The sequence below is a fragment of the Homo sapiens genome, chromosome 6 (genome assembly GCF_000001405.40).
Source record: "Homo sapiens chromosome 6, GRCh38.p14 Primary Assembly".
NCBI lineage: Eukaryota > Metazoa > Chordata > Mammalia > Primates > Hominidae > Homo > Homo sapiens.
The window spans coordinates 135,852,901-135,880,900 of record NC_000006.12 but is presented as its reverse complement, the minus strand read 5'-3'; the positions used below and the strand labels follow the sequence as shown (position 1 = coordinate 135,880,900).

The window sequence follows — 28,000 nt, the reverse complement described above, 5'->3', positions numbered from 1 at the left end:
TTTCCTCACTTACTGAGCTCTAGTATTATCTTGATTGCAAAGAAAGCATCCAGACAACTTCCCATTTCCTCCTTGCTTCACCCCGTGAACACAACTGCTTCTCTTCAGCAGCCCCAAATGGAAATTATTCAGGTCAGTACTTTGAAATCCCCTTTGCTGAAAGATTTCTTTTGCATAGCAATCTTGGCTTTAACTTCCTCTGCCTCTCTCAACTTCAGGGCCCAGTGGAAGATCAGCTCCAAATTCTCTTTTTCTTAAGTCCCAGGACAGGGGAATGAAGACAAATTTACTTCTTTATATTCATGGTGTTGCTTTCAAGCGTTGCTTTCAATCCTGTTTTACTTTCAGTTTTTCTACTGCCAATCTGAGGCCTCCTCCCAGCCATCAGACTATGTCTGTGATGTTTTCCTTAGTTCTACACATACAACTTACCGTACCCTTGCCTGAGATTTTCCTTCCCTAACTGCTTAAAAAGTGCCTCTTGACTCCACCCATCTAAACATATGATGTTTGGCTTGTAGTCGGTATTTCATAAGTGTTTGTTGGATGAATAAACTCATGAGACCTCAAGTTATACACCAACATTCCTGTTCCCAAAGTACATGGCCCCAAGCGGAGACTTCCCTGAGTTGATTTTCTGTTTAGTGGATTATCTGTAGTCCACTGCTTTCTCCCTTTCATCTTCCCTCTGAATCCTGTTTTACTGTCAGGCAACTCAAGCCAAACAGGCTCAGGCTGAGCATGTATAGGAGGGGTGAATGTCAGCAATGTCAGGATGTGGTTTGTGGGGTGATGTTTTACGATGCGTATGAAAACAAGAGTGATTTTTCCAGAGCATCTGCCTTCATGGCTTGCTCACTTTTCTGCTCTACTACATTAACATTTAAAACATCAAGACTTGGGGGTTGTCCTTATTTAATTTGGGGGTAGATATTTATAGTTTTGCATAATTATGTACATACATAATTTTATTTAGATTTATATCATTCCCAATGTCTAAGAGTTCTTTGTATCAGCAAGCATCAATACAATCTATAAGATTACAACTTGAGGAAGTTCTACATGGAGTTAGTATGAATACTTGTTGATTGCCACAGGGGCACTGAGGACCCTTTTCCTAAGCTCTGACCATAAGCACAAGATCTATCCCACATTGTTTTGTCTGGTCTTCATATCATTCTTAGGCTGTTTCATTCATATATAGTTTGCCTCTCCAACTGTATTTCCTTAAGGACAGGGATTATGTCTTTAAAAAGTATTTTTCTTGCATCAACATTTAGCAAATTATGGTCATTACAGTTGTCTACAAATGCTACTGAGACGAGTATTGGTTAAATATTTTTAAAAGTACTCTTAAGAAAAAAAAAACCACTTTTTGTAGGTCCTGCAGAGTATGCCTTGGCTAATGAAGTGGCACTGTTTTTGCCAGTCTTACAGTATCAGTATATAAACAGACCTTGAGTTCTAGGCCTGGCTTTCTCGCTGATCAGTTCTGAATATTATTATTTACTATATTTGTTGATGTTTTGACTGGTTGGAGTTTTTCTTTTAAAAAAGATACACAAGTTTAGAGACTTGTTATCTGTTCCCTTGTTTGTTTGTAGAGGGGAAAAGGTCTATTTACTTCATTCCTTCTAGAGAAAAAAATATTTTATATTTAATATGATACTCTTTGAAGCAATAAAAGGCTTCTTATTCATCTCTGTCCCTTTCCCCTCATGCCATGGTATATCCAATTCATGGGAGGCGTCCAATAACTGCATAAAATCTTTTTATAATTAATAATTATAGAAGGCTTTTTAAATGTGTGATTTGAAAAATGAGAAACCATGAAGTCAAAAATGGATGAAATTGGTTTCATAAAATTTTACATGGGTAAAAAGTCACAATAAACAAATTCAAAAAATGAAATATAAACTTCAAAAAATATACTCAAGATATATGACAAAGGGCTAGTGTTCATAATATAAAGCTGTTACAAATCAAATAAAAAAAGGGGGCAGGCCCATAAAAATACGTACATGTGAATATCAATTGTCAGGAATATATAAAATGTTTTGCCTTCTCTAATAATTAAGATAAAACAAATTAAGTGATCTATCACTATTGACTCATCACATCATCAAAGAATCAAATGACTGATGTTTATAGATTTTTGGTAAGGATAGAAAAGAAGATACCCTCCCAAGCTGTGGGTGAGAATAAAGAATGCTAAAAGCAATTTAGGCAGATTTCACAAATATCAGTTAAAGTTTAAATGTGCTAAAAGTTTTGATCCCTGCCATCTAGTACTAGGAATTTATACCAAAGATATACAAGCATACGTATGAAAGAATAGGTAAAATAATGTTTATTGCATTCTTTGTAATAGCGACATCTGTAGACAAATATCTATATTAATTTGGAGAAATACATTTTACAAAGTAAAGTGGACCTACATTTATGGTTATGGAAAAGTTGTCAAAGTTATTTTGAATATTAAGGCAAGTTGTGATGGCATATTTAGTATTATTTTATAAAGTTAAAGTGTACATTAAAATATTTTGAAAGTTTGGTTCTAACAACATGAGCACTGACGTAAGCAGACCTCTTTCCCACTATAAACACACTATTTTAAAAAAAAAGACTGATAAAATATGTAATAAAAATGTAAATGATTTATTAAACAAATATCAAAGAAAATAAAATTTCTAAGAACCATAGCAAAGAAGTAACTTAAATTCAGTGTTATGGTCATGAGAGAAACGTGGCAACTAACAGGATATTGCGGCAGATGATGAAAGTTCTCTGTCCATACCCCTTGGGCCTTTTAGGGTATTCCCTTTGACTTGGAACTGCCAGGATTTCCTTCTCTATAAATTAGGGCTTCCTTTCCCCAGAACTCTGGAAACCTGCTCTAATTGCATGTGGCACGTTGGAGATGTCAAAGACTATCTCCTGCTTCTGCTCTAGTAACCCTCAACCAATGACTCCCCAGATAGGGTGTATAAATATACGAGCTCCTTCAGCCCTCTGGGTGGCTTAATTCTGAAGCACGTGTTTTACACTCTTTCCCGTTTCCCACTTTAATCATCCACTGACGTTGCTGGCTTAAAAACAGTCTATTGATTTCCTTTGTCTCCCTGCCCCTCCCTTTTTTTTTTTTTTTGTTTTGTTTTGTTTTCCTGGAGGTCTGTGTACTTCCCAAAGAATATGGAATGCCCTTGAGTCTCAGGATCTGCTTCTGAGCGAACCAAATCTAAGAAAGATATTAATGACTTCTGAGACCTCTGGTATAGGGTTAGGGTTTTATTGTCCAATTAGAAGCCAAAGTGAAGGAACTGGAACCTAGAGCTTTGCATTAGCATGACCCTGGGCTGCCCCTCAGGGAAAGGAGAAATAAAAGGTCATCATTCCAGGGAAGTGACAAGCCAATTTCTTTCTGTCATCCCAGGATGGGAAAAAGGAAACAAATAGCAACCCACATAAAAAATTGAAAGCCCAAATCTGAAACTGACATCTGAATGGTACAGGATATCTAAGGTGAAAAAAAAAAAAAAAAAGGAATGTGTAAACTGGTTCTAGAATGGCAAAATTTCTGGGAAACTATTTGGAAGCAATCCCAAAACATGACATGAAAAAGAAGTAAATAATAAAAATAAAAAATAAAAAAGAAAGGAAATCCATCAAGAAGGAGTCAGCAGACAGAAGTTTCAGAACACAAGTTAATGGAACAATGTCAAGGAATCCACAAAACAAGCAGGTTGCAGATTACTGGAGATAAAGGAAAAGATCAAAATTATAGAGAAAGAATGGACACTGAAATAGAATTCGGTAGATTTTTTTTTAAAGAACAAATGTATCTTCTAGAAATGAGATATATGGTAATTAAAGATGAAAACGCAAATATGAAGCAAAAGTATTTTAGACCCAGTTCAATAAAATACTGAACTGGAAGAGAAATCTAAGGACATTTTCACAATGAAGTATAGTGAAATAAATATATGGCAAATATGAAAGGGTGGTTTAGAAATAATGATGGATGGGAATTTTTTTTTTTTTTGACACAGAGTCTCTCACTGTCACCCAGGCTGGAGCGCAGTGGCGCAATCTCAGCTCACTGCAACCTCCGCCTCCCAGGTTCAAGCAATTCTCCTGCCTCAGCCTCCTGAGTAGGTGGGATTACAGGTGCCCACCACCATGACCAGCTAATTTTTTGTATTTTTAGTAGAGACGGGGGTCTCACCATGTTGGCCAGGCTGGTCTTGAACTCCTGACCTCGTGATTCACCTGCCTCAGCCTCCCAAAGTGCTGGGATTACAGGCTTCAGCCACCACGCCCAGCCTGGAATGAGGATATTGAACATATCTATCGACTATATAAGTTCAAGAAAGTGAGAAAAGGTAGGAGATGCCATTTTCCAAGAAAGCATGGCTGAAATTTCACCAGCTTATGATGAAATATATGAAATGTAGGAGAAGAAATGCAAGATTATAAGGTAGGAAAAATAAAAGTAAATCTAGACACTTTAGTGAAGCTGTAGAACATGAAAGACAAGTGTGGTGGCCCTCAGCTCTCCTCTTAAAGGGGAGCTGCTACCAGGCGTGCAGTTAGCTGACAGCCGACAGCCTCAGATCCACAGGTGTGTGCGGAGGCCACTCTCTCCCCAGACTGCTCCACTTCTGTGCTAGGCATGGTGGGGTACTACAGCTGAGGCCTTCCTGCTAATGCCAAACTCTTCTCACAGCCATTTCTACTTAGCAGGTCCCCAGGAGCCTGGCTGCACTGCTACTTGAGCCTTTTCCTACCCCATATTCCTTTCTTCTCCCTCCCCTTTTATCGGGTCACACCTGCCCTGAGGTCTGAAGGCTGTCTCTATCTATTCCTTTCCCGTTCTGCTCTGTCCTTCACAGCCACTTTCCTCCCCAAATCTCTTGTTTCTAATTTTGTCTTGGTGTGTCCTTTGCAGAAGACCTGAACCACCACAGAGAGAAAACCTTAAAAGCAACCAGAAATAACAGATGACCACAAAGTCACACCAATTAGCCTCACAAAAGAATTTTTGTTGGCAACAATAGAGACCAAATGGCAAGTGAATATTGTCCTCAAAGTGCTCAGAAAAAATAACGAAAACCTAGAGAATTCTAGATCCTGTTAAATTATCATTCAAGAACAAAGGTTAAATAAGGATACGTTTTAGTCTAAACACTGAAAATATTTACCACTTACATACCCTTCAAGATTGAATGTGAACCTGAAAAGTAAAAATGAATTCATGAAGGAATGTTGAGCAATATTGGGAAACACATGAGGAAATTTAGATAAGCATTTGCTATAAAAATTTAAAAAGATAATAGTTCAGGGTTTCAAAACAAAGTAGAGCTCAGATATATATAACAATAACAGTTCTAGGGATGGACATGATCTCATTTAAGATGATTTCAGTAAGTTTCTTATATTTTTCTAGGGTATGATAGGGATATTAAATACACATAAATTTATTTATATTTTTATTCTAGTATAAAATGCTAAAAATGTGAGTGTATCTGCTGAAACCACAAAAAATGAAATGTCTAATCTCTAAACCAATAAGAGAAAATATATTTAAAACCTCAATCCATCTAGTTGAAAGCAGAAAAAAGCAAAGAAGTAACAAAAAAAGGATGAATAGCAAAACAAAGTTAGATGTGAATAAATAAATAATTCTTAATACATATATGGATTTAGCTTGACAGTTAAAAGAAAGTGATTGCATTAAAAACTAAATTCAGTTATATATTGTTTTAAAAAGACACACCAAGAATATGCACTCACAGAAATGTTGAAAGTAAGAGGATAAAAAAGATCTATCAGGAAAACTGTAACCAAAAGAGAACTGGAATAGAAGCTTTTAATATTAGAATATTATTAATATTTTAATAAATGGAATAGACTTCTTAGCAGAAATAAAAGTAACAATTACCAGGAAGATTATCCCTCTGAATTTACATTTATCTACCAGGCAAACTTCAAAGTATACAAAGCAAAAATTGACAGAATTACAAGGAGAAATTTACAAATCTATAAACATAGCAGGAAATTTTAATTTACCTATTACAGTCATTGACCCAGAAGGCAAATAAGTAAGGGAATAGACTATTCCCAGTGTAAGCAAATGGACAATTTTGACAACACAGTTAACAAGTTTGCTCTGATGACTACATATAATCACTGTTTCCAACAATTACAGAAAATATGTTCATTTCTACATGGATTTTTTAAAATAAAAATTAGTGACAAGCTACAAAGCAAACCTCAAAGATATCTAGGAATCATTTTACATAAGCAGCATTCCCTTAATACAATGCATTAAATTTGGAAATCAATAATAAAAGACCGCAATCTCCTTTCCACTTGTCACACTTAAGAAATCTAAAGTAACCACTTCAAATAATTACTGAGTAGAAATAAAATTGTAGACATTATAAAATATTTAGAAATGGACCACAGTGAATATACCCTCTTTCAAAGGTTGTGATGTTCAGCTAAAAAGGCATTTGGAGGGAAATTTATAGTTTGCAAGGCATAAATTAGAAAGAAAGTAAGAAGAAAACTCAGCAACAGAGTAAGCCACAAATCAGTAGAAGAAAGAAAACCATTAGACCAAGGATAGAAATTAATGAAGCAGACAGAGAGATAACAGAGAGACTCACGACATCAGATGCATTCCCACCTCCAGGCATTTGCACTTGCTGTGTCCTCTGCTGTGAACATTCTTTCCCCAGGTATCTGCATGGTTTACTCCCTCAATTCCTTCAAGTCTCAGAAGTTATCTGCTTAGTGAGACCTCCCAAGCACCTTCTTAAAAATTTCATGCCCATCCTCCCACATTCCCTAGCATTTTCTCTGCTCTTCTTTTTTCTATAGCAATCATCAGCAACCACCATCTTTTACATATGGATTGAATTTATTATGATCTATTTTGCTTACTGCTGAATCTGCAGGTGCCTAGAACAACATCTAGCTTAGTAGTTCCCAATAAATATTTGTTGAATGAATAAATGAATTAATGAATAGATGGCCATCTGTGTGGTGGATACATGGATGTCTGTCATATTATTTCTGATAGTTTTCTTATATTTGAAATATTTGCAATTAAAATTTTAAACTTTTTAATATAAAAACATTGTCTATGTCTGTGAATATAAACCAAAGTTTATATTGATTATAAGTTAAAAATTATCAATATTTACATTTTCTTATTTGCCTATCTACTTACAACATGTTTATGTTGCTATTGCAATCACAATGAAGATAAAAACAATGCCCTCCAAAATCAATCATATATGCCTACCTCATATATTCAGTAAATTCTACTATTGTCTCCAAGCACCCATTATTTTCCAGAATTCATAAAACTACCAGAACTACATCATACTATATTAAAGATCTATATAAAAGATAATTCAATAATCCTTCAAAAACAATTTAGCCAAAAACTCCAAAATAAAACTACTCACAAGACACCGTATTATTTCAGTGAAAAAAATTTTGTGCATATTTGTGGACTCAAATATTGAGTTTGCAAAACCTGGAGACAAAGCAGACACTTGAAGATATTGGGAAGGCATCTTTACCCCCATTCATAGATATTTGTGTCTGTCATGTCATTTTGTGTTTGTGAATGGTTTAGAAATTCAGGTGTGTTCTTGACAGCAGAAATTTAGAAACTTGTGGTAGAGAAAAGTGAAGGGAGTTAAACAACAATTGCCACTTAATGACAGATCACTAGATTTGTTTCGCTCTCAGCTCACTCACCCAGCTTCAAAATCAGGAACCTTCATAGTATGGAGCAATCGTATACATGGACCGTCCATGTATACAAAAATTATTCGTTACATAGAACGTTTCTATTTACAGAATGAAGTATAAACTGAGAAAAATCATCCCTAAGTTCAAGATAGTTTTAATCTGCTGATTATGAAGTTTTCAAAAACAGAACATAAGAGAAAGATTTGGATGTGGAGAAATGAGAAATAAAGCACATTCACTCATTCACACACACTCACTACTATATAAATGAGTAGTATTAAATAAGGTTATGTTTTCCAAGGTTCACATGTATACTGAATGCATTTTATTATATATTAACTTATCAAAAAGTTGATTAAGTGGGCAGAAAAGTAAATTTTCAGACAAAATTTCCATAATAGACTTCAGTTAATGTGTCTACATAGTCCTTGATAGTCTTTATCCAACAGACTCACTTCAAACATAGAATGAGTTCACCTTGTGAGACTTTGTTAGGTAGGGAGGGTCCACAATGTTGGGTTTTCTTCTGTGTGGTCTTGAAGCAAAGAGCATTAATCTGACAGTATAGAAAGGAAACACTGATTCCTAACCAATTTTTAATATACTGTGAACACTTGCATTTGACATACTGCATTCTTTGGAGAAGCTATACAAACTGCAAAGCTCAAATATATCTTTTCTGTATGATTTTTTTTGCAGTGTCTTATGTGAAATTGAAAATATTTTTAAAAAGACAATTGCAATGTTAGTGTATTGTGGATGATACTCTACAAGAAAAGCCTGAGCAATGTTGGTAAGTCATTGATAAAATTATGAAAATCTTAAACAGGAATTCTCCCTGCTTAGTACACTGAATGATGCTGTGAGAATAAATAAGAGTTTATAATGAAATTCTAGATTACTTTCTGGAGGCAAATTACCAGGATGCTACTGGCCATATTTACATAAGATAACTTGCTAAAGCAACTGAACTCTTTGCTGCAAGCACCAAGCCTTTAAAAAGGCTGGAATTAGATCATTTTTGACAACTCACTGAGGCATCTGTTAGGAAAAATTGGAAGAGCTAATGAGAAACTAGGTGACCTAATCACAATGTTATGAATAAAATTTCTCCCGCATTGCTTGAATTTGTTGTTTTCTTTTAAATCTCATTTCTGTTATTATTGCTCCACATTATTAAAGTCCTGCCATTCATAGTTTCCTAAGAATCATTAATTAAAATTAAAAACCAAGAGATGATATGAGGCTACAAGACAATAATAATAAACAATAGTTAATAGTTACTTAGATCTTTCCACCATCCACATGGTCACACATGAATGTGTATATTATATGTGTGTGTGTGTGTGTGTGTGTGTATACACCTATCCTTACGACAACATTGAAAGTGATTATTGTAGCCAATATAAAATGAAAGAAAACTGAGGCACGGAACAGTTAGTGACTTCCTTCAGGCCATAGCACAGGTAGCTGTCAAAGCTAAGAGTAGATTTCCAGTTTCCTGTCTTTCCCCAGAATTCTTTTTCTCAATTCAACATTTATGTTTTCTACAGTCATTGACTACCCATGTGAGTAACTGGCCACAGAAGTGCCTTCCCTAGCTCCTCCCACCCCACCCAATAGGCAACTCTCTGTCCTTGCTTTGCTGAGCCCAAATAAGAGGAGAAGAAAATGTCTTTCTGGTATCTTAAGGAATCTAAGCAAATATTTCTGTAAGCCCTGTTGCTTCTGCTGTTTGGGATCTATGTGGTCTTTGTACTTTGATTTCACGTCCTTGTGGGTTACACAGGCTTTTGTGGGCTGACTGGGAATCAAATGATAATGAATAGTACAGTGTCCATGGAAACATTCTTTTTCAGTTCTAATCAACTTTGTAAATTGAAGATGCCCATCTCTTCATGTAAAGTAAAATATATAATAATGACACAATTTAAAACAATTGATCTATCATTAGGGGCCACATATAACTGTGATTGCACTAAAAACATCTCAGAGTAAATAGAGAGCAGCAGATTCCTACCACAGCTTCTTTGTGCTACTCTCAAGTATAAATGGAAAATTCCTGTCATCAGGGTCCAAACTGGAAGCCTCAGCCCCTTACCAGTAAGAATGTCTAAAGAGGCTTTCATGTCTACAGAAGCTTCTGTAGCATGAGCTCTTCGGGCAGGGCTCCAATAATATAGGCAGCACTATGGGAAAACCAGATGTGGATGCATTTGAATCATTTCCTGCTCCTCCTCCTTTCCCAACCTCCCCACGCTTCTGGGAGTCTTCATTCTCCACCCTCTTCCTCTTTACATTGTCTTCCTAGGTGAGCTCATCCAGTTCCAAGGCTTTAAATAGCATATATATTGATAAATTTAAATTCAGTTTTCATCTCTCTTCTGAATTCCAGACTTTTCATCTCTGTTTCACTGATAGGCCTCTCAAGCTGAATGTGTCCTAAACACAACTCTTATTTCCTGCATCTCCCCTCCTCCAAACTGATCCTCCCTCGATCTTCCCTAATTCAGTGAATGGTACCACCTAGTGATGTAGGCCAAAAATCTATAATCAATTGTTCTCAAATTTAGTTTATTTAGGTGATATGTACTTGTGAAATGTACATTTCACAAGTACATATCACCTAAATAAATAGGGGTAGTACTTACTACTGAACTCAGTTCTAAGCCTGTGTGCACACACACACACACACATTTAATCCTTATGGCAATCCTCTAAGGTAGGCACTATTAGCACCCTCCACCAGTTTTACCAATGCAGAAACTGAGAAGAGGCTATTTGACCAAGGTTACAAAGCTGATAGGGGGCAGAGCCAGAACATGCCACCAAGGAGCCCAGCTCCAGAATCTGGAATCACAGCATTGTGTATTGCTGCCTCTTCTTTTCATCCAATCCACCATTTGGTCCTATATTCCTATAGTAAATACCCAAATCTGAACACTGTCCACCACTCTAGTGTTTCAGCTTACTCCGGGCCATCGTCATCTCCCATCTTGCCTACAACACCCACCAGCTGCTTATGATGTCGTCCCTAGCCTAGGCTGACAACCCATTCTCCACACTGGAGTCAGAGTGCTCCTTTTAAAGCATGAATCACTTGGTCTCTCCTCCCTGTCTACATGGTTTCAGTGGCTTCTCATTTACTGTGAGAAGAGTACAATTTCCACCACGCCCTGTGAATATCTGCATGCCCTGTGCCTCACCTTCCCATGCCTGCTCATCTCCTTCCATCCCATCACCTCATTTTGCTCCAAAAGCACTGCCCTTTCTGTCTTTCAGACATCAAAACATGTTTTCTTCTCAGGACTTCGCTCTTGCTCTCTCCTCTGCCGGGATCACTCTTTTTCCAGGTTTGGCTGTCTCTTTCTCAATCATTTCAGTAGAGAAAAGACTCCATTGGGCTCTCTTCTGGCTATGGAGCCAAGTCTCCACAGCCAGCAACCTGTTGTCTCATTACTTTGTCTTACTTTCTTCGTAGATTTAGCAATCTCTGAAATTAACTGTCACAACTACTAGTCTATGTAGTAACTGTCAGTCATCTCTGACTGGAATGCAAGCTTCATGGGGATGGGAACTTTGTTTTTTCTACTTATTTCCAGTCCCTAGACCATACTAGGGCCCCAAATACCTGATGGTTGAATGAATAAATCTAGGCTCTCTCACCTAAAAGTACTGACTTTATGCTAATTAAGTAATGAGAGTCTGAGTTTGTTCTTCAAGATGGGGACAATTTTATCCATATATTAGAGATTTTCTGAGATTATTTGAGAGATTTAAGCAGGAATCAGAATTTTTCTCAAGACTTCATAAATATACTATGCAGTAATAGTATATGTACTAAATATATGTATATATTTATACTAAAATTTGGGGCTGATTAATAGTTTGTCACATGTGCAAATTACAGATACTTTCACACCATCGAAAGCAGTCTCTATCCACCCCAATCCTAAAATCTAAGGAAACTACTTATAATTTTAGATTCTATTAATTAAAAGACTAACATCATATACCAGTCATCTGGTTTTATGCCCTCATATGTGTACAAGTATACATACACACACACGATTGGGCCATATGAAATTGCTGATATTTACTTTTTTGGCCAAAAGATGATCATTTCAATGGCTTGATATAATATATGTATATTTATACACACACATATGTACACAGCCTTCAGCAGTAGGAAACACAGAATCATGTGATGATTTATCTGAGACTGTCATAGTCAAAAAACAATTGAGCCAGTGTACTTAAGGTTCGGACATACTAAACAAGACAATGTAAAATATTGTGCCTAAAATTCAATTTCAGTTAAGCAGGAGTAAGAATCATTTTTAATGAATAGTGCACAGGCACCATCAGAACTGTGTTCATTACACAAGTACTCCCCAAGGCTGGGCGCGGTGGCTCACACCTGTAATCTCAGTACTTTTGGGAGGCCCAGGCAGGCAGATCACCTGAGATCAGAAGTTCAAGACCAGCCTGGCCAACAGGGCAAAATCCTGTCTCTACTAAAAATACAAAAATTACCTGTGCATGGTGACACCTGCCTGTAGTCTCAGCTACTTAGGAGGCTGAGGCAGGAGAATCACTTGAACTCAGGAGGCGGAGGTTGCAGTGAGCCAAGATAGTGCCACTGCACCCCAGCCAGACTGGGTGACAGAGCGAGACTCCGTCTCAAAAAAAAAAAAAAGTTTATCTCCCCAATTGATGTTTCCACCATCATCCTGATAAAACACAGGCACTGGAGTGGGGGTGATGGTGATAGTAAAAATATTTAACCATTAGCTCGACCAGAGGTGAATGATTGATATGGCCATGCTGGCATCTACCTGTGGAACAATGGCCCAAGACAAGGACAAAAACTCAGAGAACCCTCTGCCATGTAGAATTTGAAACTCATCTTGGTAGTGCCAAAGAACTTATCCTAGCCTGAAAATTTAATTAGAAAAAAAAAAAAGCTATGTTGTGAGACCTCTTTGGAGATAAATGACATAATTTGGGATTCACTTCATAGTTAGAAAATAAATGTCATCTTGCTTACTCAAGATTGTATGAATAACCTAAATGCATGTCAAATTTATCAGACTTATAAATTTTTTTTAATTCAACACATAAAATGAGCTTTGAAAAATTTATTTGTGGATTCCTTAGATTACCTTTTTGCATTACTTTAAAGAAGAAACACTGTAAATGTTTGCTGTATTAAAGAGAACAACTCATACACCTTTTCACAGAAAGTAGCAATTAAAAACTGTATCTTAGTGCTATTATCTACTTCTGCAGCTCCAGTTTGTGATAACTCTTTGTTATTACTTAAAAATATGCCAAAGTTAAAAATATTTTCTCAGTTAAGAAAATTCATGGAGTAACACATTAAAATGTACTTAGTCCTTCGGCTTAAATATTAAGTCACTTTTCCTTAGCTTCTACTGTTACCTGTAAGGTATAATATTATCAACGGAGAAGAGTAACGTTTCATAAAACTTACCATTTAAGAGGGGAACAGTGCACACTGGGGCCTACTGGACGGTAGAGGGTGGGAGGAAGGAGAGGGATCAGGAAAATAACTAATGGGTAGTAGGCTTAATACTTGGGTGATGAAATAATCTGTACAGCAAATCCCCATGACACACGTTTCCCTACATAACAAACCTGCACATCCTGCACATGTACCCCTGACCTTAAAAGTTAAAAAAAATTTTTAAACCTTACGATGTATTAACATGTTTTCAATTTAATGTTTTAGCATACATTTAGTAACATATATTATTAAAATTGTTGAACATTGACTCTCTCAAAAATTTTAATTTTCTAATTTCTGTTTTGAAAAGGAACAAAAATACTGCATAATATTACAAAAACTAGAAATATGTATCTTTTTATAAAGAAAATCTGTCCTATTGAAAAAGTTATAGCAAACACAGTTTTAAAACTGTTTACTATTTCTCTTCTACACACATATACTTTCAAGTTACTTGTAAATTGCTCAAATTGCTCATAAATTATTAATGATTGGACTCTAGGCTAAGGACTTAGCATATTTTACATTTATTAGCTGTAACTTCAAGTTCACCTGTGCTCGAAAGATCCCCCACACAGGAAAAACCTGCATAAAGTATTAGGAAAACACAAGCACCCAAGAAAAGCTGACAAACCGCCAGAGGCAACAGATAAATACAGAACACCAAAGACCTAGTTTTACATAACTAGACCAGAATTTTACCGTAGCATAGCTAAGCTTACTCTAGGGTTTATATTATTTGCAATCATCTAAATAATTTATTTGCTATTTCCACAGGACATGGCTAGTGTCCTGGAAATAATCTTTTATGTGTTTACGACACGTATGCACTATCATTTTCATTCTGAGACATTAGCTTGTACAGAACTGTAAACTGTGAAACAATTTAGATAATGAAGAAAGTTGCTATGAGCTAATTTTAGCTAATTTATATCAGCGACTATACAAGAAAACACTAACTTCTATGCACGAAAGCCATAAATCAGGAGCTCAATAGTGTAGTATGCCAAATATATTTGATGGAAAATGTGAGCTACTGATGAAAGGCAGAATCTGTAACAAGTAGTTCTTTGACCTAAGATCTCCCTAGCCTATTAGCAACCTCAGAATGATACTTTGTTAAAGTACTACTGGCAAGTAACAATTACAAACTAACGTTATTACTCTGATGAGATTGTAATGCTTTTGTAAAGAAATGTTCGCATAATATTATAATGGCCACAATGAAATATGGAAGGTGAACATATTATTATTTACTTAGTTTATGATTTTGATAAATACTTCTCATTTTAAAATTTATTTCTTAATTGTACAAAAGGGTAGGTGAGTACATGTAGATGTGGGTACAAATAAAACATGCATTTTTATGAATATATTAAAAAATTCTAAACAATTTTAGATAGAGATTGAGGTGAATGGTGGTGGTGAGAGGAAGAGGAAGATTTTTACTTTTCATTTTATGCCCTTCTGAACAGTTGGAATTTTCTAATGTGTGTTCTACTTTTGTTTTTTAAAGTTAATGATTAAAATAAATCTGCTAAATTGAAAACAAAATAAGATACAATTTGTTTCAAATACAAGATAAAATACAGCAAAGTAATAAAAATTTTTGAATATTTACTTCTAGTCCATATTGGAGTCTTTTAATACTATATGTGTTTTCCTCACTATGCACTATTCACTACTCCTCACTACCCTTACTCTCTTTCCCTATCTTTTGAAGAAAACAATAATAGATAAAAATGAATAGCTGCAGACTTCTTATTAAGTGCCAACCACTTTCAATCACCTCATATATATTAATTCAATGTGAAATCAGATTAAGACAAGATTGTTATTACCACTGATAACTGCTGAAGCAAATGTAGATCCTATCTAGAGACAGATAACATCACACTAGGCCTCAAGTAATTTCTCTGTCTCTGTCTCTCTCTCTCTCTCTCCACACATACACACACACACACACACACACACACACACACACAATGCCTAGTGCTTCATCAAAAATAACCAGGTATATGAAAACCAGCCACTTTGATTCAACCAGCAGCAGCAGCAGACAACAGCTATAAACACTCAAGAGATCAAAATAAAAGCAACAAAAGTTTTATAATGATTTGCAGAATATGTTTAAGGATATGAGAGGCAAGATTGAGAATTTTGACAGAAAGCTAGAAATGACCAAAAATCCCTAAAAATTTTAAGACCGAAGAATATCATAACTTAACAAATTGTTTTATGGGATAAATGACAGATTAGATACAGATGAAGAAAGACTTAGGGAAATAAAAATATTGGTCTAAAGAAAATCTTCAAAATGAAGAACAAAGAGATTGAAGGTAAGTAATGGGAGTAGGAACATTCAAAACTCGAACATACATGTAACTGGAGTCCCATTAAGAAGAGCTAGAGAATGATGGTTTCCAGCTTCATCTATGTCCCTACAAAGGACATGAACTCATCATTTTTTATGGCTGCATAGTATTCCATGGTGTATATGTGCCACATTTTCTTAATCCAGTCTATCATTGTTCGTCTACTGCAAGGACAAAAAAACAAACATTGCATGTTCTCACTCACAGGTGGGAATTGAACAATGAGAACACTTGGATGCAGGAGGGGGACATCACACACCAGGGCCTGTTGTGGGGTGGGGGGAGGGGGGAGGGATAGCATTGGGAGATATACCTAATGTAAATGACGAGTTAATGGGTGCGGCACACCAACATGGCACATGTATACATACGTAACAAACCTGCACATTGTGCACATGTACCCTAGAACTTAAAGTATAATAATAATAATAAAAAAAGAAAGGCTAGAGATAATGGGGCAGAAGCAATATTGAAAGAGATAATTAATGAAAATTTTCCAAAATTGTTAAACAATATCACGACACACATTTAAGAAACCATACAAGCCCTAATTGGGATAAATGCAGAGAAAACCATACCTAAGTAATCATGGCAAAACAAGCAATCAAACATGAAAATAGGGCTACAAACAGAGGAAATGGACAGATTGCTTTTAAAAGACTATTTTCTGACTTATCAACAGAAACAATAAAAGTGATAAGACAATACAATAATATTTTAAAGTAAGGAGGAGGGGGATTACAATCTATAATTTTATTACCAGCAAAAGTACACATCAGAAATAAAGGTAAAATAAAGCCATTTCATACAAAACCAAAATCTAAACAAAATCATCACTGCACTAAAGGAAATCCTATATGTGACCTTAGAGATGCAGGAAAGAATGAAGAAGATGTGTAATTGTAAGAAACCATAATAATATATAATTATTCAAAGATTTACATTATATAAAGTTAAATACCTAACAATAGCATATAATTTAGGAGGGATACAAAAGTAGTTAAGGCATTCCGAAGTTCTCAAATTTGCCACAAAGGAATAAAAGTACTAATATGCATTATGCTTGTATTAGGTCATAGATGCATCCTGTAACCGCAATAGTCACCAGTAAAACAATGTAAAATAATGTAAAAGTAACAAGCTAAAGCTAACGGAAAGGGGGCAGTGCAATTACAAAGATACTTAATTCATAATTAGGAAAGTGAGGAGAGAAAAAGAAATATAGAACAAGAAGAATAAATAAATTGTACATAGTAAGTCAGCATGTTTGAACCCAAATATATCACTGCTTCCATTAATTATAAAAGGATTAAATATTCACTGAAAAGGCAAATATAGTCAGACTGAATGATAAAAGAAAATTTACTTATTTGCTGCTTGTAAACAGACACACCTAAAACATAAACATATAGACAATTTAAAACTAAAAGAATAAAAAATGATAAGGCATGCAACCACTAAGCAATGGAAAGCTAGCTTTATAGATTTTAGTATCAGCCCAAGGAGAATTGAAGGCAAAAAAAAAAAAAAAAATTGGAAGGGATGTTTTACTATGGTAAAATTTCAATTCGCCAGGAAGTTACAACAGTTCTAAAATTGTTTATAAGGAATTCTCAACCTTTTTTCCATTATCATCCTCCTCCCTTATGGAGCCATTATAGATATTTCTTTCCCTAATCACACTCCCCCCAGTCAAGGAAATTTTAATGCCAACTTGACTGAATATCTGTTTATGTGCTGAACCTTTTTAGGTCACAAACCATTATGATGTCTAAGGGTTTTGGCTCCCCAAGAACTAAGTATTGCCCCTACTGTGAAGGCAGCATATAACAGCACAGTATCAAAATACTAGTTTAAATTTTATAAAATTGCTGATATTCAACCTTGATCTAAAAAAATGGCAATTTTACATTGTTCAATATAATATATAAGCAAATGATGGCAAAATAAAGGAAAATAATTCTCAATCATGAGGAAGTTTTTAAATATACCTCTTTCAGTAATAGAAGCAAAGAAAATCAATAAAGATACAAAAGATTTCAATGATATGATGAATAAATCTTCTAATTGACATCTATAGAGCACTATACCTAACAATTGCAGAATACATTTACTTCAAGCACATGTAATACGTTTAGAAAAGCTGACTATATATTCGGTTATACATTCAAGTTTCAAAAAATTCAAAGATCTTAATGGTATGACTTGTAAGCACAGTAGAATTATACTAGGAAACAAAGACAAAAAGAGAACTAGGACATCCCAATTTGTTTGCAAATTAATAAATATACTTCTAAATAATTCACAGGTGAAAAACAAATTATAATTGAAATTGTCTTGAATTAACTGCTAATAGAAACAGTAAATTTTAAAACCTAGGGGAGACAGCTGAAACTGTGAAAAATAAATTTGCTTCTTTAAATGTATATATTCAAAAAGAAGAAACACTGAAAAATAATCAACAACAACAACAAATCCATGAGAAATTACTAAAACTGACAATGAAAATAGAAAATCTGAATAGCCCATAAAAATAAATGGAATTAAAACTGTAACTAAAAACTTGTCCACAAAATATTTCAGACCCAGATGGACTTATGTGCAATTTCTATCAAATATTTGAGGAAAAAAAATAATATAAACTTACAAAACTGTCCCAGAACATTTTTACTAGGGTAATATTTCCTAACTAATTTAATAAAGTCAATGGAACCTTGATAAGGCCATAACAAAAAAGGATAATTTTAGGTTAATGGTTTTCATCAACATAGTTTCAAAATCCTAAAAATTATTAGCAATTCAGAAACAGAGTAATGAGTGATATTGAAAATGAGCATAACATAACATGACCAAGTTACATTTATCCTAGGATTTCAGTTTTGAAATTATAAAATCAATCACCTATAAACAGAATAAAAGGGAAAAGTCATACGAAAAGTATTTTAAAGAACATTTAATAAGAAATGCTTAGCAAACTAGGAATAAAAGGAAACTTTCAAATGTTATAGAAAATATCAAACTTAGTGGTAGAATGTTGAAAGCTTTCTTTCTGAGACTGGAAACAAGATAATATTGCCACGATTACCCCTTCAACAATATACTGAAAATCCTATCCAGTACAATAAAACAAAGTTATCAGCATTAAAAAGGAAAATCGGTGACCACCAGTATTCTGGATGCTCTGATTACCTCTATGGAAAAGCAAAATAATCCATAGATAATGTATTGGAATTTGTGAGTTTTGCAAGGTTGCTGATAATTAATTGATATACAGAAGTTGATTGTTTTTCTATGTATCAGTAACAAAAAGTTAAAAATAGAAATTGAAGAGATGCCAGTTGGAATACCATCAAAATACTAAGTGCCCAGTAATATGTCTAGCAAGGAATATGTAAAATGACCAAAAGCTAGCCAGAAGATATTACTGACAGAAATTAACAAACACCTAAATAAATAGAAGGATACATTATGTTTATGAATTGGAAGACTCAGAAAAGATGCCAGTCTTCCCAAATTGATCTATATCCCAACAGTATTTTGTTTTAGGGAAGAATCTTAAGTTAATTCTAAAATTATTATGAAAATGTAAAGAATCAAAAATGATAAAAACAATCTTGAGAAGAATAAAACATGAGATTTTACCAATGGAAAAAATGTTTGTAATATATATAACAATCAAAGGTATCAAATATGTTTATTATATATATATAAGTATATATAATATCCTATAAATATACAAAATAACTTGATCAGAGACTTGACAAAAAAGATATTTACATGGCCAATATACATGTGAAAAGGTGCTCAGACCATTAGTAAACAGGGAAGTGAAAATTAAAACCAAGATAAGTTACCAGTGAGGAAGTAGAGTAACTGAACATGTATTGTTGGTGGGGGCGTAAATTATTTTAACCACTTTGAGCAATTTTGAATTTTTTACTAAATTTGGATATAAACATTCCCTGTGGCCCAGCAACTTTATTCCTAGGTATAACCTCAACAGATATACCTGTACATGTGCACCAAAAGACAGGCCTGTGAATACTCAGGCCAGCATTATTCATAATGTTAAAAACTGGATACAATTAAAATGCTTTCTACAGTAGAATGGTAAATACCGTGTATTCAGATAATTAAACATCATGCAACAATGAAAATGAACAAAATACAATGATAGGCAACAACCTATCTAGTCTTCAGATATAACACTGCATGAAAGAATGGAAGAGGCATGATGGGTTTCCTCAGGTGCCAAACATGTAATAATGTTCTATTTCTTGACTCTCTTGACTTCTATGTAGGGGTTCAATGGTGCATAATTATATGTTAGATAATTTTCTGTTATGTGTGCTATAGTTTAATTCAGAAAGTAAAAAAAAAAATTTAAAACAAGATTTATCTTAAATGTTTAAAGCACCAACAACATTGTAAACAAAATAATTCCATGAAATAATTTCTAAAACTTGAAAGCAAATAATACCAGTTGATACACTAACATTAAGTTTTACTCTTTCATACTCTGTTCTAAGCATTTTACAAATAAAAAGTCATTCCATTCTCTCAAGAATTCTCTCAAGAAGCAGATATTAGAAACACCTTAATCTAACAAATAAGCAGAGCGAGGCCTAGAGAGATTAAGTAACTTCTTCATGGTCACAGAGCTAATAAATGAACCATACTGAATGTCGCCAAATTATGCACTGTTGATCAATGCACTCTACTGCCTCTCAGAGCAAAATTTCTGAAGTTTAAAGTATCAGATTAATCCATTTAATCAATTTAAATCCATTTAAAATGAAATAATACTGTTTTTCTGTATATTTGAACTTTTGTATAAAAATATAGTGGGTAGATTAACATTTTCAAAACAGACATTTTTATATTTTGTGTATTTTAAAAATGTTTCCTAACTCATTCTTAGAATGATTAAGGATGGATTTTAAGCATATAAAAACAATTAAAAACTGTCAGCAAAAAGCTGAAGTTGCATTTCAACTATTAGCCGCAATTTATCTGAGTCTCAATTTCCTTGCCTTTAAAGTGGGCATAACAAATCCCGATCTAACAGGAATGTTCTAGAAAGTTACAGGACATTTGTATTATGAACTGAGTAACTACTTACATAGGAAAGCCAGAAATTTTGGAACCTAAAGGTTTACATTTACATTTTAGACACCTGAAATCTAAAAATGTTAAATAACTTGCCAACAGTATCATTCTTAGCATCTGGAACTTGAACTCGGGGCTTTAGGTTACAAGTTCAATGCTCCTGGAAAAAAAATGGAATCCTCATTTTTTTTTCCTGCTTTTCCTTTTCTCCTTTCACACAAAATAAGCAAATTGAATTTTAAATTATTACTCATTATTGCCATTTAATCCAATAGATGTATTTGATTATTTGGTTTCTAAAGACTTACATTAAAGGAGACAATATATTTTAAATAGGCTGTATTCTCCAACTCAATGTTTTGATTTTTTTTTTGTATTACTACTACATACAAAGCTCTTACATGCATTTTGTCAAGTTTAAGAAGGGCCTCTCTCATGCACCCACACATGGGCACTTGGGGCAACATATTCAATGAAAAAGAGAACAATATTTCTCAATTATTTTATTTATAAGCCATTGAACTATATTTCTAATACTTAGTGATTTTTAATAATTAAAAGAGATTTATAGGGAAAAGTTTAGAATGTTAGTCTTTGTCATTCCAAACTGCTATCACACAAATTCCTGTTTTATGTTTATTCCTTTTGTATTATTTTAACTTAAAGATTATTTTTTACTCCAAACACAATAATGAAGATCTAGAAAAACAGAAAATAAAAACTACTAAATATGGAAAATGAGCAATACCTACACTTTTCCGAATGAAGCTAAAAACCCAATTGAAATTAGGTTTTTATTTAATTGGAAAAGCATGAACACTCATCTTAAGAACATGGAAACACACTATATTTCTGTCACATAGAAAATAACTTTTTTCTTAGATTTAATGACCTTTTCTAAATCAAGGCATTCTTTAGACCTCTGTATTACTGCAGCATCTCCTTTTACAAGAATGCTTTCTACACTTTTGTGAATGACTGAGTTCTTTCATCTAACTGGACCCAGCTGGCAAGTGGCATAATGAGAAAGGGAAATGAAGGTCTTTTTTTTTTTTTTCTCTCCTGGAAAACCAAGAAATGTATAAATCATATCCAAACAGAAGAAGCATTACTTGCTTGCATAACTGCACAAGCTGTACATCTTAATATAATGTTTTCTACTGTTTTATGAATAACTGATATTATAGTATAATTTTCCTTTAAAAGTCTATGATATGTGATTTCCTTAAACACGGTTTGAATAAATACTAATTTTGCATGTATAGTTAATGTGAAAAATTAAACTGAACTGATCAATTCTAAAACAAAATTTAGTCAAGATGTTCAAACCAGTAAAATATGTATGGTAAAATATGTTTATTGTTTATGGAGAAAGATCTCAAATAATTGGGCGTGTAACAGGCCAAAGTTTCTTAGACCCAGATCAAAGGAACTTTGAGCTTGACCAAGCCCCTCATTTTATACATGAGAAAGCTGGTGCCCAGAGGGCTGATTGGCCCAAAGTTACTCAAATAAGAATGATGGGCTCCCTATCTCCTGGCTTCCAGGATTCTTACTTCCAGGGAATTCTCTGCTCCCTAGCCATGTCAAAGGTACATGGGAGAAATTTAGTAAGGGTCAAAGAAAGAAATTAATGAAGAAATTTTAAAGCAAAACAGAACTCAGGCTGGACGTGGTGGCTTACACCTGCAATACCAGCACTTTGGGAGGCCAAGGCGGGTGGATCACTTGAGGTCAGGAGTTTGAGACGAGCCTGGCCAACATGGTGAAATCCCATCTCTACTAAAAATACAAAAATTAGCCAGGTGTGGTGGTGCATGCCTGTAATCTCAGCTACTTGGGAGGGTGAGGCAGGAGAATCGCTTGACTCTGGGAGGTGGAGGTTGCAGTGAGACAAGATCGTGCCACTTCACTCCACCCTGGGCAACAGAGCAGGACTCTGTCTCAAAAACAAACAAAAAAATAGTAATTAAATTAAATAAAATGAAAAACATAAAATAAAATAGAACTCTTTCTTCTTTTACCTTCAAATTTTTCTGGTCACTTTAAAATATCACACAATAAATAAATGTCAGTAACTTTTTCCCTTTATAAATATAATGCATTTATGGAGGGGAAAGTTGAACAATTCTAAAGTATATACAAGAAAAGTAAGCCTTGTTCCTATCCCATACTCCAAGTTCTCCAAGGCATTGTTTGTTAAGTTTTTAATTCAAATTTCCAGAAATTTTTAAAAAGTATATATGAATGTGTCTATGTATTTATACCACTGTTAATGTAGCTTCCCCCCTCCACTTAATACATCTGAAAAATTATTCCAGATTTTTGCATGTAGAGGTACTTCATTCTTTTACATGACTGTATGGTGTTCTATTGTATGATTTTGCAATAATTTTTCAATAATTCACCTATTATTGGGCTCAAGTTGTTTCTGATATTGTTTAGGTTACAAACAATGCAAAAATAAACAATTCTATATGTTCTTAGACAAAGATTTGCTAGAGTCAAAGAGAATGTAAAACACTGACCGTTTGGTACCTTCAGGTATCAAATTTTGACCAATCCAGGCATATGGTAGCCTCTCCATGTCTATGCCTGGACCTATGGAAACATACTCCTCACACCATACTAGTCCTGGACCCCACCCCCACGCCAGAACAAAAGAAGATTCTTAGAGATTAAGTATATTTAAGTCATGTATAAACTTCATTTTTGAACAGAATCCTTTTTTGAGCACTTCTAAAGCAATGGGAATAATTTTCATCTTGTAGAAAGAATATTTTATATACTTCCTATTTATATGTGAATTATGACTATGTAGAACACAGAAGGTATTAATAAGAAAAAAATATCAGCAGGAAATTTAATGAAAAACTATATGAATTCACCAACCACTAGGAAAAAAAAGTAAGTATTACTCCAAACTTTACACAAGGAAAACTCCTCAAAACCTCATTACCAATCTATTTTTCCCTTCTTTCCTTAACAGATTCAAGAAAGAAAGAGAAAGAGAGAGAGGAAAGGAGGGAGAATGAAAAGGAAGGAAGGAAGGGAGGAAGGAAGGGAGGGAGGGAGGGAGGGAGGGAGGGAGGAAAAGGAGTAAGAGGGCAGAAGGAAAGAAGGAAGGGAAGGAGGGAAGAAAGGAAGAGAGGAGGGAGGAAGGGCAGAAAGGAAGGAACTTCAAATGCATGACAAAGTTTCTTTACTGGTATATTGACTGTGGCTATTATTTTCATACTTCTATACTGTATACACATAAATATGTAAACCATTCATGAAAGGATTTAAGCTTTTAAAATGTTGGGATATTTATACAGTAGTATCAAGAATTATATATTGCTTAATAGATGTCTGTGTGTTTTCTGTTACGTTGTTTTTAGGTTTATCCAAAACTACAAAACCAGCTCCCTATTTTCCATGCTTGAGGTGTTAAATGTAAACTCTCACTCAGAGCAGACACCAGCTGGAATGCTCTGAGCCACGCAGAATCCCAGAAATGTCTCGATTAAGGTGATTGAACTGCATCAAATCCCATCACTAGTAAGGGGCAGCAACCCTGTACCAGCAGGGCAAGGTCTCAGAGCAGATACTCAATGGACAATCAATTCACCAAAACTTTCTTCTGAAGGTTCCCTCAACTTAGTTATCAACAGGTTTTCATTTATTCTCTAAAGAAATCAGAATTAATATTGAGAAGATATTAAGTGAAGTAATATAGAAAATCCAGGACAGTGATTGGCATTTAGGAAAAAGACGTTTGTCTTGTAATATTAAAGTTTCTAGCTACAATTTTCACAAAGCATGCCTCTTTGCTTTCTCTAGGAGTGTCACAGCCACAGAGGGGCACATCAACCTGATACAAGAGAAATGGAGCGAGGAGAGGTGACTGTCTCAGGGGAGTGATAGTCTTTCTGGGGAGGAATTCTCAAACCCAAGTCCTTGTTTTGTTTTGCTTTTCCTTGGCAATGAGATTATCTTGGAGGTAAAATTGTGTAAATGTGGACAACTGAGTAAAGGCAAACTACACAGAGAGTAGTGGAAATAAGGAATGGGAGAGGTGGAAAAGTAAAAGTAAACACATGCTAATGATTCAGTGTTAATTTTGTCAGGTTAAATCACAGAATTTGGAAAGAAAAAGGGCATCCAACAGCCTTAAAGATGAAGAAATGGAAGCTCCAGAGTTGAAGAAATGTGTCTTCACTCCCACAAGTAATCTTGAAGTTCCGAGCCACCATGAGAGTTTTCCTGACACTGAGGTAATTTCCTACCATGTTGACACCACCTTGCGCCAGTGTTCAAGACCATCACAGCTATGAACCTTGTTGGCTTGTATCAGATGCCTGCTGGGACCTTGGCTGCCCATAGTGCTCTCTAAAGACTCCAGCTTTCCATAACTCCTACAGTTTTAAGTTCAAGGAATGATGAAGAGGACGCCAATGTACGGATTTGATTTACCAAATCAGGCCTGTACAGCAGCTGAATCAACCTATGGGAAAATTTTGGCTCTCTTTAACATTCTAATTTTTGAGAACACCATTGCAAATACATGATTTCCAAAATAATAACAATGCACTTAATTAATCACATTATAGATCATCATATAAAAATAAATACCTAAATAGAAATACAATTTATTTTTTTCTTAAATTCCAAATTGCATAGAGCTGCCTCCTCTGCAGTTTTCCATCACTGCCTCCTTCTCAGACTTCTCCTTTTGTTTTTTCATTTCTTTGTACAGACTCCAGTCATTTGTTTAAATATTCATACTCAACCAGAATACGTTTCCTAATGTGGGAATCATTGCTTATTCACAGGCACAGCCCTTGACATCCTGAAAACATGTAGTAATGATTTTTGGAATAAAGGTTTGACACTTCTACATTTACATGTAAATGGAGTTAAAAAATTCTAGGTTGAGAATAAGAATACTATAAAAATTTTGATCTAAAATGGATGTTAGAGATAACCCAGCGCAACCAGTTGCTCTTACAATTGAGGAAACTGAGGTCAAGAATGAGTGAGTGGCTCAGAGTCACCCAGCTCATTAGAGCCTGAATGAACCACCTTGGTTCACTACCTCTGTTCACCGCCCTTTCTAGTGCACTTCATGAAATCACTCTCTAAGTACACATCAACTCATTTAGATACTTAAATGATTCTTGAGAAAGTAGAAAGTATAAATGCCTTGACCACACATAAGAACTTTGACATATTTCACTCTCTGTACTGAAATTTCTAACAATGCCTGGTACATAATAGGTATTCAGTTGATTTGGGTTTCTACATCCCTTTTCTCCTTCTCTTCTTCAAGTTTGCATGTAAACCACATTAAAGACTGCTAATATATAAAGTAGGCACCATCTCATGAATCAAAGAGGGGATTCCTAGAGCCACTGAGGATGTCTTTAGAAGCCAGTGGTGCTGATCCCACAGCTACTCTCCTGTGGACAGTGGAAGTGCTCCCCAAAGTACATTCTTAGGGGAAATGGGGCTGCCGCCATGAGGAGGTGTCAATAGAGATTAGAGATGGTCTTTGTGCTGTGAGAGAGACCTCACATTTCCAAATGCCAAGTCCTTTCTTCCTCAGTCAAATGTACCCCCTAGAACATAGATACCTACTAAGCTGTAGATTTTTGAGGGGATACAGAGCTGAATCCATAAGATAGTGGATTATTCAGATAAGAATTTCTGTAGATAGAGAGTTTCCAATCAATTATGTACCCCAACAATGTGAGGTCAACTACTTAGACTACCTCTTAGCTTCTACATTTAGATGTTTCAAAGTCTGTTCTGATCCTTAAATTTGACACTTCTCTTTAATATAAACAAAGCCCTTTTAGTATTCTTTGGGATTAGCTTACCACTTAATAAATTCCTTCCAACACTATCTTCTGTGAGTCAACAAACAGCTTCCTCCTGTGATTTGGGCCTGGCTAACAACAAGTTAGACTTCAGACGAATAATTACTAGGCTGAGGCATTTTCCAGGTGGTACATTCCCACTTTGAGGAAACTTGGTCATTTTACTTTTGCATTTAAGATGTCCTTAGGCTGAAAATAAAGTGTCAGTGTTTGAAATGTCCTTCTCTGTATCATTGACTTGATTTTTAGATAATATTTCAGGCTGGACTGACACCAAAAGTGCTTTTCAAAAACACATGAAAAGACCAAAATTATTTAAATAATTTACAATATATGAAAGGTAGTAAATTCTAGGCAAACATTTTAACTAGGTTTTTATGGAGAACTGACAGTGAGTAGCTTTGTGCTGAACCCTGTGTAAGGCATTAAATGATGCACTCGTGTAATTATTTTCCCTAAATTAATGCCTGTCCCTGACACATCTTAGACTTTTCCACCCTTGCCCTAAATAACTTAATTAAAAAAAAAAATTCTCCCAGCTAATTTGCTGACATATAGTCACCACTGATTTTGTCACATGTTGTTCAAGAGAGTGAGTACATTCTGAAATTAGACAGCTTACAGTGTCAGGTAAAAATTCTTACAAGGCAGAGACAGTTTTTGGAGTTGCAACTAGTTAACTGTGGGCTTCTACTTGAGACAAAAGTGACTTCATTTTATTGGAGAAAATGTCAATCAAGACGTAACTACTGACACCTGTCTTTGTTTCACCAGCCAGTAATAAAAGATAAAGCAGAGGAAATGGAGGAGCTGCAGTTATGCGTTTGCAACACACAAAGTCCTTGTTTTCCCACTAGGCGCTGCAGAAAAGCAATTGTCCATTCACGGCACATCCTCTGCATTTCAGAGCTAATATTTTTGCAGTTCTTAACTTAGTACATTCCAGTCTTATGCAGTTAATTTTTTTAACCCTTTGAAATACACCTCATGTTTGAAATCGTGCTTAATATTACTGCTAACATGACCCAGTTTTAAAGCTTTCAGGTTCTCAATGTTGAGAATAGAAACTTTAAGAAAATCGGTTAGAAATTTTGGAACAGGGTAAGGATTTCAAATAATCCTGTCTTATTTGCTATTGCATAACTTTGAGAAGGGTAATAGGGAAATCCATGGTAACCATATATTACTTAAATTGCTGTTACAAAAACCGACTCTTTGGATAGGAATGATTTTTAGCAGGGATCCTCCTTAAGACATAATAATGTGCCACTGAAAACAACATTAGCCCTGTATTGAATTGCCAATCTTCCTGCAGCATTTAGTGTGTTTACTGTATATGAATGCCTATGCCTGTC

General features: G+C 34.9%; 1 protein-coding gene and 1 long non-coding RNA gene across 5 annotated transcripts in view, besides 1 other annotated feature; one reads left to right on the top strand and one right to left on the bottom strand.

Moving 5' to 3' along the window:
• The window catches only part of PDE7B (phosphodiesterase 7B), a 343,874-nt gene that overhangs the window by 314,674 nt on the left and 1,200 nt on the right, over positions 1-28,000 (bottom strand). The window lies entirely within an intron of this gene.
• LOC101928373 (uncharacterized) lies at positions 61-26,865 on the top strand. Of its 4 annotated transcripts, NR_187606.1 has the most exons (4): positions 61-132; positions 8,470-8,563; positions 24,607-24,666; positions 24,894-26,865. It is a non-coding gene; the product is annotated as an uncharacterized LOC101928373 (long non-coding RNA). The 4 variants fall into 4 exon arrangements; NR_187607.1 differs by lacking the exon at positions 8,470-8,563; NR_187609.1 differs by lacking the exons at positions 8,470-8,563; positions 24,607-24,666 and adding an exon at positions 24,165-24,294.
• Positions 263-432: an enhancer, noted in NCBI's record as "active region_25108". NCBI's record gives its function as "activates an Ori minimal core promoter by ATAC-STARR-seq in GM12878 lymphoblastoid cells {active_cell/tissue: GM12878}" and the evidence as "EXISTENCE:reporter gene assay evidence [ECO:0000049][PMID:35858748]".